The sequence below is a fragment of the Homo sapiens genome, chromosome 6 (genome assembly GCF_000001405.40).
Source record: "Homo sapiens chromosome 6, GRCh38.p14 Primary Assembly".
NCBI classification, from domain to species: Eukaryota; Metazoa; Chordata; class Mammalia; order Primates; family Hominidae; genus Homo; species Homo sapiens.
Genome location: NC_000006.12, coordinates 93,264,965 through 93,278,323, shown reverse-complemented (window position 1 = coordinate 93,278,323; position 13,359 = coordinate 93,264,965). Strand labels below are relative to the sequence as shown.

The following is a 13,359-nucleotide window of genomic DNA, read 5'->3' as shown; positions in this document are numbered from 1 at the left end:
TATGAGGTGTTACACATTAACCTTTCAACAGTTGACATTTTAGTCAGTACTTTAGCAGAGATTAGGAGGAGTCCTAGTATGTGTTTAGCAACAATGACCAACAGTAGCTCTTCTCCACAAACTGATGCCCCTTAAAGCCTTTTACTTATAGATTTTTCTGAGAAGTGCTAACTCCTATAATAATTAATTAAATGTCCAAACAATTGGTTTCCAATTACCTGGTGATAAAAAAGAAGAAAACTTTATTCTCAGAAAGATGTATTGTCAGATCATTTTTACAATCGCTGCCTTAAAGAACAGAATGATTCTTGGTTGATCAAATTGTGAAGTGGTGACTTTTGTAGTTCTTATTAGGTATTTTATTACTCTACTGAAGATATATTGATTTAACTCACATGTATACCTGACTGGGGCCACTATGCAGGATGCTTTTATTTTCCTACTTTTTCAGCTCAACATCATATTTTTTTCCAGAACTTTCAAACCTTATTTCTTAGTCAAATTGTCTTTTTAGTAACTGTTTCTTGAATTTATTTAGAAATTCATTCTGTTATATATCTTACTATATTGTATATTTTACATTTTGAAAATCATTATCCTAATTGGTATGTTAAGTAGATAGCAATGCAAATAACATAATTTAATTTTGAAAAAACATCATTTCTCTTCCACCGATTTTTTCAAATACTTATTATAGAATGAAAATTTATGTTGGTTTTAACTACAGATCATGCTTCTCTCCAGCCAAAGATAATTTGACAGACGTCTATCACAAAAGAATAGCTCATAATTGCTACAGGTTCAATTACCCTTAGTTCCTGTACTTATTTTTTTAGCTAAAATTGCATATGTATCATTCTTAATATTATTAGCCACCCTGTTTTTCCAAAGCCAAGAAATTGAAATGTTGTGAAATTATGTGTTTAGCATTTTTTATGTATGTCTACATACTCTAGAAATAGAATTGCTGTGTTACATGATACACTGCACTGCATGTATAATTATGGCCAAGTATTTCATTATTTAAGCAAATTTGTATGTATTTTTATGTGTTTTTCCTATAGTACAAAGATGAACACCTGTGGGGAAGAGTGAGAAAGCTAAAAGTTGTATATTTTAAAATACTAAGCTCATAGTAACACACGCATTTGTTATTTCAAGGATTGCTAAAAATGAATTTCTTGCTGATAACGTACAATAGGAAAAGCGTTCCATGAAAGAGCATCATTCTACTATTAGCAGGTTTTCCCTTGACTGTATTCCAGAGATATCTTTATTTTTCCTTTTTGTATTTACCTAATGGATATCTAACAAATTTCAGTGGATTTAAAAACTTGATATATTTGCTGAAAGATCATTTTATGCTTGTTGACCCATCTTACCTCATTGTACTGTTGAAAAATACAGGTATATTTTTCCATCCATTCTTTGTTTAAATTCAGTTAGAAACATGTAAATGTAGAAAAAATGAATGGTATAAATAAATGACTTTTTAAATCCAAAGTGAAATTCATTATCTTGGTTAAGTTCTTTTCTGTGAAACATTGTGTTTTGGGTCTTAATCAAGGTCAATATTCCTTGATTCCATGCTATTTCAACATACAATTTAATATCACGTTATTTAAATATGCAATCACTAGCCTGTTTTCATAATTTCATAAAAATTTCAGTAGGTCTGCTTTTTTTACTACATGTATTCATTTTCTATTGCTGCCATAACAGATTACCACAAACAGTGAACAATTTAAAACACTCATTTATTATCTCACAGTTCTGTGGGTCACAAGTCTGGGCACAGCAAGGTTCAACTACCAGCCTCACAGGCTGAAATCAAGTTATCGGCTGGTCTTGGCTCTTACTTGAAAACTCTGGGGAAGATCCACTTCCAAGCTCATTCCTGTTGTTGGAAGAATTCAAATTCTTTGCTCTGATAGGACTGAATTATTGATTTCTGTACTGGTCAATCAGGGCCAGTCTGATCCTAAAAGCTGCCCTTGTATCTTTGCATGTTTCTCTGAGGTCCCCTCCAACAATGGCAAGTTGGTTCCTCCCACAGTTGAAATTTCTCTGACTTCTACAGCATCTCTGTTTGCTCTTAAGGGCTCGTATGACTAGATAGTGCCCACTGGGAAGAATCCAGGATAATCTCTTTATTTTAACGTCTGTAACCTTAATTATATTTACAGTACTCTTTTGGCCATGGAATTTACATATTTACATGTTTCAGAGATTAGGGTATAGACATCTTCGTGGGGTCACTCTGCCTACTTTGCTGTGCTTTAAAATTGTCTTTTTCCCTACTTCATGCTAAGAAATTTTCCTTTACAAATAGTTAAGCTTAACCTGTTGGCAGGGGGTAGAGGGAGGCAGTACATAGACCTTATGAATAAATTCCATTCTGTAATTTAAATACGTGTTTTGTAATTGAATTTTAGTTGGAAATTGATTAAGATCAAAGATCACATATGAGTGCTTGAAGCTCAAAATCTGTAAAAATGCTGATTGGTTCAGGTCTGTACATAAACCCACCATTCTTGTTACTGATTATTTTTCAATTTAAAGCCTTATACTAACAAACCCATTCCACAAATTTACTTTTGTGCCTGTCATTAGACTTTTGCTTTACTCTTTCATCAAATTTATCAATTTTGTTTTTATGCTGTTGAGATTTACCACTTTGAACTCTGGAAACAAATTTTGAATTTCCTAAGGTCTTCTTGTCATTGTCATTTGTGAAGATTCCAAATATGATTAATAATTTGCTTCATGGCTTAGTCTGTTTTATATTTTATTTATTTGTTATATCTTATATCCCTGATAAGACTTGAAGATCTTTAAGGGCAAAGGAAGTTCCATCTGTTTTTTCAGTTGAATTTAATTTTTATTTTTGAATACTTCTAGAAACTCTAGTGAAAATGAATCTGTTAATTATTTGTTAGAAAACCTACTAAAAATTTATGTTCAAAAAGCTCTGTTATATACAGTATTTGTTTTCTCCTACATCTTTCAATTTGGAACTTTATTGTTGTTGGTTACTATTTATTATCTTCACATAATTCCAATTACAACATGTCTAATTTCATTTTGATAATTATGAAAATTATAATTTAAATGTTATAACACCAAATTGGTTCTTGAAGCATTTAATTCATTTGTATATTCATTTGTATATTGTCACTTGTATATTTCATTTGTATAATTCATTTGTATACTGTTATTTTCTTTTCAGAAATGAACTTTAGATTGTAGTTAATTGAATATTTTGGTGTAAGAGTGAGCACATTTTTAGTGAGATTGTTACAATAACGTTAATTTAGTAAATCAAATATATTGACCATAGAAATCATTGTGTTTTAAGATTAACATACCTTATGCCACTTTAATTTTACTTTAACATATAACTTTATCTGAAAATAATTACCTTGTTAGAATATAACTAGGCTAGAGATGTTTTTGTTTATAAGCTGTATATCCTGTGAGTTGTGTATCCTTTATACCTAAGATACTGAAGCTCAGGGAAAATATAATCACGTTTCCTGTACCAAATGTTGTATTTGAAGGACATTAGACAGAGAGAGATTTTTCCTATCATGCAGTTTATCCATTCTCAAGGGCCATGTGCTAGTGCTTCCGTTTCTGACCCTCTTAAAATGTGTGACTTGATATAGTATCAGCAAGGGATACAAGAAAAAAAGAAAGAAATATAGAAGAATTCAGGAGTATATTCACTTACAGATATGGATCCTGTGCAAAAGGGAAAATACGTTGCAGCATATTTCACTGTCAGCACTGTGATATGAGTTTCAAAATATTATATATTTGAAGTATTTTTAGCAGCTTTTCTTTTTCAGTTCCCAATTGCTATAATTTTATTGGTAAAAATTATTTTCCAGGATGGAAATAATGAATGTAATTTTAGTGTATAACTTGCAAAAATCATCTCATTTTATATTTAGATCTTGTTTCAATGTATCAGAAACTAAATAGGGTAGATTTATAACCCAAATCTTTTCCATAACCTGAAGAATTCAGAGTCTCCTGCCTCTTTTATCATACCAAGCAAAGTGATAGTTAGGGATAGAAACCAAGCAACATGTCTTAGTGTTTGACTTATACTGAAAATCACAGTAGGCTATTGGTGTTATTTGAAAGAAACCTAGAGATTTACACATACGAGCTCTCTAACCTATTTCTAGCTAACTTATTTTCAAATGGCACACATAAATGGTAAACTCTGATCAGAGACCAGCAACTCCTGGGTAACTCAGTATGTTAACCATTGCAGTATTCTCACCTGTGCTGCAGTCTATTGTTTTTACTAGTTAAAATGTAAATTTTTTGGAATGATTTTGTTAAGTAAGTTATGCTACTAGAGATTATTTGTCAAGTAGAGTCTCATGTCACAATTAGTTGGAGTTGGATTCCTAAGGCCATGGCCTAAGGAAGCAGCCTCTTGAACGTTGCAGTCTACTGAGTTATGCTAAGCAGGTTCTGGGTACAGAGATGTGTCACTTTAGAGATAAGTTATTGTTTACTGTATATGTTCAGGTTTCAAAAGTTGTGACAAAAATAAGATTTCTTACTAGAAATTAGCTTCATTGAAAATATATCAGAAATGCATTTAGACTGTAAACACAGTTTGTTGAGTACTTCAGCTACATCTCCTTCAAGGGAAAGTTGTCCCACTTAAACTGCCCTCGTTACGCTTTTGTTAGTAATCTGGGAGGAAATGAGAGTCATGTATCTTCCATGTCCTTCCTTCAAAATCGCCAAGCCAGAAAGAAGTGAAAAATGTGGTTTTTAGACATTGATACAAGAAAATATTAAGTAGAAGAAACAAAATAAAGCCAAAGGGATAAACATCGGAAGGTTGCTTAAACGGCTTGGTCCCATATAATTGCTTTTCTGTCAGCAGGATTATTAACAGTTTCAGACATCTGAAAATTAAATTAATAGCCTGAAAATATTTTACAGAATGAGATAGAGCATGGTACATGAAACATAATGACCCCACTGAAATTCAGCCAAGCCAGTGCAGCTACTCATTTAGACAGAGTAGACAACTAGTTAATCATCACTGAGCAAATTAGACGAGCAAATTAGTTTGCTACATTCCACAGACTTAGCTACCAAAAAGAGTATATGTCACTAATTAGAATGAAAGAACTCTAAGCATATTATTATCTATATAGAAAGAGAAAGCAAGATTGTAGCTTTGAATTGCTCCTTTCAAAGCTTGAAGCCTAGGTTACGTAGGTATAAATTACACATGCAAGAGTCCATGTGTATGTATGTGTGTTCATGCACATAATTTAAGTAGCAGGCAGCCTTTGCATTTTCTTGCATCTTGACCTAATAAAGTCTAAAAATGTTTTCCAAAGTTGTTTGGAATTCTTTGGGAGTATACACACACCAAGTGAAACATGGAAACATTTTTAAAAATATGATTCCTTTAATTGAAGATCAAAGTAGCCATTTCATACACTTTTTCTTGCATCATATTAAATTATTTTTTCTTTTAAAAAGTGTATTGCTGTTGCATGTGAAATAAATATTTGGACTTAGTTTATCACTGGAGATTAATCTGAAATCATATTTTCTAGCCTTAATTAGCATTCATTTGCTTAATTGTCATTCTCAGCCCCATCATTTCCATTTTTCACTAACTTGAACAATGCTATCTTCTGCTGTTTGCACTTTAATTTAAATTTCTATTAAGGTTTATGAACAGTAATAAGGTCCTGTTTGAATATTCATTAGCTTCTGAATTGTGAGCTATGAAAAGGTGCTTTCTTTTACCTTAATGAAACTGGCACAGCATGGGACTGATCAGTTGTGACATTTGATTTGAGGCATCCAGTGAATTTTCTCATTGTTTATTGACACATCTTGTCCAAACAGCTCCCTCGCAAGTGAGTGGAGTAATGAAGGAGAGAGTACTGCAGCGGAGTGTCGAGCTTTCCTGGCAGGAACCAGAGCATCCCAATGGAGTCATCACAGAATATGAAATCAAGTATTACGAGAAAGTAAGTGCTAAGAGCAACTGAAATGTACAATGTGCTGTGTGTCTCATGTCATCCTACTGTATTGTAGACTAAAGTTGGTCATTATGCCAACAATTTGGAGCTACTTCAAACTTCGTAGTTAATTTTAGCCATTTATAATAACCATCTCTGTGAATCTCTGGCTTATCATTATAAATGTGATTTCTGTGTATTAAGTTTCTGTGTTACACAAATGAAAGTATCCCATTTGTAGCATATATATTTATTTATTTATTCAATTTCTGATATTGTAGTAATTAGATGTAGGATATTTTAGTACCACAGAAACCACACAGCCCAATGCATTTTGAAAAATATTTTCTTTAGTATGTCTGTTTGGGACCTTAATGGTTTGTTTAATTTATGTGGTTTCAGTGATGATAATGACCTCAAATAATTTAATAATTTGAAATAATAAGAATATTTTGTATAATAAATATGTAGTTCTTCAGACTTACAAATCAGATGATGTTATTTCACTCCTTTAAATTCCTCCTGAAATTTATTTTATATATGTTTTAATAATCATGTATGGGACTTATTTACACCTCTCCTTCCAGGAAAAATATTATGGCTTTTTAGCACCCAAGTGCTGCCTTTTTAATCCACCTATAATGACTAAATTTTAGTAACTAGCGATACATCTGAGTATATGAGTATATTTATTTCTGTTTCATTTGGAAAGAGAGAGAAAATGTTTATGTGAGCCATGTTCACAGATCGTGATTTAAAACCCCACCTCACAGACAGACTCAGTGCAAGGTTTGAAACGTGGAAACCATTGCTATTACCAACAGTAACAGTAATAAGTGTTACTATTTTTGGCTTACCTGAGTTACCTGAAGTGCTATAATACACATAACCATTTTAACTGTTTAGACAATAGAATTAGAAAATAGGAGCTTAAAGCTTTGAGAAAACTTTGGGGATGAATGGACATGATTAAATAAATTGAAATGTATATAGTACATTGGCAATAGATACCTTTGTTTTTTTAAAGAAAAATTAGTTTAAAATATGATTTTGTTTTAATGTTCAGATTAAGTTTAAAATATTTTTGCTTGTTACTTACATTATGAATTCATGACTTCATGGCTAAGGTTGCATTTTATATGCTTCATTTATCGTCCCAACAAATGTGTTTTAGAGGGGATTATTGTTTTTAATGCTGGTTTTGGTATATCTGTTTTCCCATGAGAGCTATCAGTTATATTCTCTGCTTAAATTGCATCCAATTTCAAAAGCAATGAAACACATAGGTGGTAAGAGTAAAGTTTCTTACAATATAAATCTGAAATATTTTGCAAATATTTTCTCTAGAATAAATATGTTCAAATCATTTTTTGGCCTTACAGAAATCTACATTCACTAAATTTGCATATTAGGCAACTAAAAGACAATAATAATATTGTATTGTATTATATTGTAATGTATATGCACGCATGCGTGATGTTTGTGTCACCTGAGTTATGCCTAGGTCTTTCGTTTGAGATAAATACATGTAATACAAACTATCATTTTTATAAATGATTATAATGAGGACAATCACAGATCAGTTTGAGTGAATCAAGCTTAAGTATATATTTATTTACACTTTTGCAAATCTCACTGTGAAGGCAAATCAAACAACTTGATTGACATTTTAAGATTTCAATGAAGAATTTCATTGCCAGATAAAGTTGAACACATGTATTTATTATACACCAAATAAGAACTCTCTAATATTGTATATTATGAAGTATAATTTTTACAACTTTTATTCATAAATAGCTTGTGAGAATCATATCAAGGAAGATTTAAATTTTTATTTATTTAAATATTGTTTTGATGGAGTTTTTATATGCTTGAGTTTTTACATTTATTCCCTTCTTAATCTTACTATATATGCACATAAAATATGTTTGATAATGATAGGATAAAAATTGTTAATAAGCATATAATTGATTTTAGTAAATTTGCATTAGCTTTTATATCTGAAATATGAACAAAATGAAATAAATCATGTTTAAAATATTTTCAAACCATAAATCATATATATTTAAACTTTAATATTTATAATTTTACTTTAAAAATATTTCATTAAACTGTTTTGCAGAAGTGGTTTATTCTGTGAGAAATTCAGGGTTGTTTTAAAAAAATTGGTATGTCAGTATAGTAGTAGTGTTATCTGAATTTCTTGATTTAATAACTTTCTGGATTTTTAGCATCTGGCTTTTTTTCTTGCTGAATAACTTTCAGAAAAAACTTAAGAGAACTACATTATGATTTGATGACCTCTACTAAACTGTAGATTGTACAGGTGTACCCACTGTTTGACCAATAGGATATTTTATTATATTATGGCTAAATAGTTCTTGTCACATATTACTTCTGCGAAAGCTAAAAACACCATAAATGTTTTAACTAAATTATTTCGCCCTAAATATATATAACAAAGGCATGTGTTTCACATTTTCATTTTATATTACCTTAGAAGTGATTTAACTTTATAATATTCCACAAAGTACAATGTAGCCTCTATAAAAACAATGGAGCAAATTGAATTAAATTGAAACAGTTGGCTGTCAAATTGTCTGGTTGCAATCACAATTAAATATTTCCTCTAAATATTGTTTCTAGGATCAAAGGGAACGGACCTACTCAACAGTAAAAACCAAGTCTACTTCAGCCTCCATTAATAATCTGAAACCAGGAACAGTGTATGTTTTCCAGATTCGGGCTTTTACTGCTGCTGGTTATGGAAATTACAGTCCCAGACTTGATGTTGCTACACTAGAGGAAGCTACAGGTAAAATGTTTGAAGGTAATTATGCCTTTGGTTTGGATTCCTACTCTCAATAACTCTAGCATATATTAATATTTTTTTCAATATTGAGGTGATCATTTGCACCATCATAATTTTTACATTTACAAATAAATATATATGTACATATAAATGTACTTTGTAAAAGTTCATAATAATTTAACATTTGCTGTTTTGTTTAGCAATTTTAGAACCTTGTGATTTAAATTAGTTTCTTTAACGCATACAAGATTTATTTTTTGAAAAAGGTGAAATTAGAAACAGAAGCAGGACTGATTCAATTTGTGTATTGACACAAGATGTGTTTGTCGACCTCGAAACAATCTTATTCTAAGTGTGTCCATCAAAGCAGCTACTTCACAGAAACCCACAAATGAAGCCAGAATGTGTAGTGAGGTGGACAAGAGAAAGATGGTATCTAAGAACCTGTATTAATTTAAGTGAATTGCCCTTTAGCAATGATTTCAAAAATTAGAGTTCAGGAAGGTCTTAGAACTTGTTTTTATTTTTGTTTTTGACATTTTTCATTTTTGTTATGGAATATTTCATGCATACTAAGGAATCTATTTAAAGTAGATATGAAATATAAGGGAGATAATTAAATGAATATCCCTATGACCACTCATCTTAAAAATAGAATATAACCAGTATCTTTGAAGCCCCTTTATCATTTTATGTTTTACAATGCAACAAGATTATAGTAAAAATGCATGTGTATATATAGTGTATAAGAAGTAAGCAGATATATCTTGGGATGGATGTCCCCATTTGCTGTCAGAGTCCAAGTTCAGAACACCCTGAATACCACTGCTGTTGCTCCTCCACAGAGCTGATGTCTCAGTACATGTTTCTATATTTTGGAGTTTTGATTCCTCCTGATGTTACTGCTCAGGCACATGGTTTACCCAGGTGTTATCTCTTCTCCTTGCCAATCCAGCCTTCCTCCAAAATTCTAATCAAAATTAAGTTGGAAAATATTATATGACTTTTCTCAATTAAAAATATTTAAACAAATTAAATTAATATTTTGATTAAAGAATTATTTTGGCTTTAAAGGAAGAATTGTATAGATCTTCAAAAGGTGGAGTAAATTGATAAATATCCTTTGCATTAACTAATGTTTGTAAAGTTTGCTAGCAGTATTATTCTTCCACATATTTTGTTACATTTTAAAATAAATCTGTAACTCTTATAGCCACAAATAATAAAAACGTATGCTGAAATCATTTTGACATATAAATCATTCACATAGAGTTGTAAACATAAAGGCATCAGTTTAAAAATTTACTACATAATTTGATGTGGTAAACTTAATACCATTATTCATGATTATTCTTTTTAAATAGATTATATAAGATCAAGAATCAGCATATCAAAGTTTAGTGTCCCCCAAAACATTAAAGCATTTTAAGTTAAGATTTCAACATTTAAACATTTGAGTGGTTAGTGTTAAAATGTGCTCTAGTAATTTTCAACTCAGATCTATATCATAATATCACCCTGTAAATTCAGATATAATAAGATACTTCAAATTATGTTTTTCATCTTTTAATAAATAGTTTAAACTTAAAATGTCAGTTATCTCACATTTACCCAACCATTCCTTATTATTTAAAAACACTTTTAGATTTCAAAAGTTTCAAGATGAATTTATGCCTTTTCCTGACTTTGTAAATTGAGAATATTAAACCAAACTATCATTTAATGTGTGCTGAGATTCATAGATATCATTTTTATTATTTAAAAAAGAAGTAACCAAGACTCAGAGATTAAAGTAGTGGAACCTGAAAGATCACATGAAATGTATGTTAAGAATGGATTTTTGCATTAGAATTTAGTGATTTTTACTATCAATATATTCTCTCCTACTGGAATGTCAAGTTGATGAAAGAAGAATCCATATGTCTTTTTCTTACTGTTGTCTTGCCAGTGCCTACTATGGTTTCAGGCACAGAAGGCACTCAGTAAACTAGCAATAAATGAATACTTCACACTGATCAACATAGAGTGAATTATTAATATCAATCAGTATCAGTAGAGAGCTGCCTGGTTTCAAATCTCTCTGCTCTGCCATGTCCGGTTATAGGAGTTTGGATGAGCTGGGTCTCTGTACCCTAATTTCTAGTATAGTAGTACTCAATTCACAAAACATTCTGAGGTTTAAGTTAAATATACAAAATGTCAAGGAGAGCCCCTATCATGGAAAGTCTTAAGTGTCAGCTGTTATTAAACACAGCCTTTCTCAAAATTTTCCATCCCAGGAGCCCTTTTACTATTAAAAAATGTTGGGGATATCAAAAAATGTTTTATATTGGTTATATCAATTAATATTCACCAAATTAGAAATTAAAATGGAAACTTTAAAAACACAAGAACACACAAACATTTTATTAGCCATCAGAGTCATAGTATTATCATGTCATATACCTTCTGAAAATCTTAACTGCATTCATAAGCAAGTGAGAGTAAAAAAGTCAAATAACATCTTCATATTATATGAAAATGACTTTGAACTTGCAGACTCTATGAAAAGTTCTTGAGGACTCTCAGAGTTTTCCAGACTACTCTTTGTGAACCAGTGAGTCAGCATAAGGTACTATGCTAAGAATTAAGGAGGCACAGAAACACACAGTTCATGATCTTTATTAAAAGTTCAGTGAAAGACAGGGACAGGTACACAGATTCTGGCCACACAATTAAGCAGTGGTGGAATGCATGGTCCAGTGATATCACCATGTCAGGGAGCAGTGACTTGCTGTGCCAGAAAGCAGGTCAGAAGGTAAGATGCAGCCTAAAAGAAGTCACTTGAGCACTGTTTGTAAAGAGAAATTTGACAGTCTCTTCCATTGCACATACATCCTAAAATCCCCTTCTGTGCAGTATCCTATCTACTGTTTCGAGTTTTTAAACCATGACATTCTGTTTATAGCCTTAGCAAATTACTTTTAATATGTATTGCCCTGAAATAGATGAAAATATTAACCATAATGTCAACTATGGAAAGATTAAAGTACGACCCTGACAATATACAAAAATGTATAAATAAATATGCACAAATTCTGATTCATCATTCACCTGAGTTCATTTTTCTCATTAGAGTTCTCTTTCTGAAGCTAAGGGAAAAACTGAGCCTAAGACAAGCAGAGAATTAGGCCCATGGGACACATCGGTTGAATGGAAAGAATTTCATAACATATGTACATAATTTTTTCTTCCTCATGACTGGAACTACTCCATTCTTTTTCTTTCTTAAAATGTACATTAAAAAACAGACTAAAAACAAAAAATAAGCAAATTTTTAAAAGACTTGAAGTCATCTTTTCTCTGTTGTGTGATAATAGGCTGTAATTCAGAAATTAGTATTTGAAAGTTGTTTTCTTCTTCTGTTTTTTTAACCTTTTTAAGTTCCCTCAGGGAGCAATTCAGCAGGTGATAAATTAGAGAATGTGTATAATCTTCTTTGTTCAGAAAGTATCTATTAGACCAGAGCGATTTTTCCTGTTTTTCAACACAGGAGCTATCTCTTGTTAGCATAGGTATACAAAATTAAGAGATAAGTTGTCAAAAGGAGACAGACAAACTAGAGAAAGGCCAATCTGAAAAAAACTTTATACTTCCTATTGTGGCAAGATATGTTTTGCCTTCATATGAATTACTTCTCTAGAGATCTAGTCCCTTGCCATCAACAAGAAGGAATGGTATTTCCCATCCTGCCTTAAATTAAAGATTGCAGCTCTTGATTGTTTCAGAGATAGCAAATTATATTAGTTTGACATTATGTATTTTATGATATTTGCAACTGGATCATTTATTGGAATATTCATTTTCATTGTTTCATATGTCCTTGATGATTTTATAAAGTCTGTATTGCTACTGAAAATATGAAACTCTGGGAAAATATGACAATTGTGAATCATCATATAAATAAAACTTCACTAGTTTGGAAAAATGGAAGTGATAAGTGCAAAAATTCTATATCAGAAGGTGTTTTAAAAGACATGCAAACATGTACTTCTTCCCAAAGAGACTGTCAGAAAAGTTCAGCCAGGTTTGCCTTAATGAGCATAGAAGAATTATTTAGTATTGTATAGGAAGGGTTTGCAGTTAGGTAATGATAGTGTTTTTTAAAGCACTTGCAGAAAGTTTGCTTTTTCTAAAATAGGCTAGCTACTTTGTAATCTTAAAATATGAAATGTGTTTACTCATACTTCATGAAAATTAACACAGACAATGTGGCTCATCTTTTTCCTGAATTATAGTGGACTATAAATTTATGATGTTTATGATTACATGATGCTTTCCATTTTAATTGATGATATGAGAGATAAAGCATTTAATGTGTGTTAAGGTACTTCAAAAATACATGAGGTATGTATTTTGGTTCTGATTTCACATACCAAAAAACAAGACACAAAGGGATCAAAATCAAATGCCTTGCTGAGGAACAATAGGGATTTAATAGCACATGCAGATCAGATGTGTCTATCTCTTGATTTATAACTAAGCTTTCAA

At 31.1% G+C, this 13,359-nt stretch overlaps 1 protein-coding gene across 10 annotated transcripts in view; it reads left to right on the top strand.

Annotated features, from left to right (window-relative positions):
- The window catches only part of EPHA7 (EPH receptor A7), a 179,540-nt gene that overhangs the window by 141,236 nt on the left and 24,945 nt on the right, over positions 1 to 13,359 (top strand). For 6 of the 10 annotated variants that reach the window (NM_001376465.1, NM_004440.4, NM_001376470.1 and 3 more), the window contains exons 6-7: positions 5,902 to 6,026; positions 8,664 to 8,847. In NM_001376465.1, the coding sequence (NP_001363394.1) occupies positions 5,902 to 6,026; positions 8,664 to 8,847 (309 nt within the window). The remainder of the gene's footprint in view (positions 1 to 5,901; positions 6,027 to 8,663; positions 8,848 to 13,359) is intronic. The other 4 variants (NR_164810.1, NM_001376466.1, NM_001288629.2 and 1 more) reach the window with 1 other exon arrangement.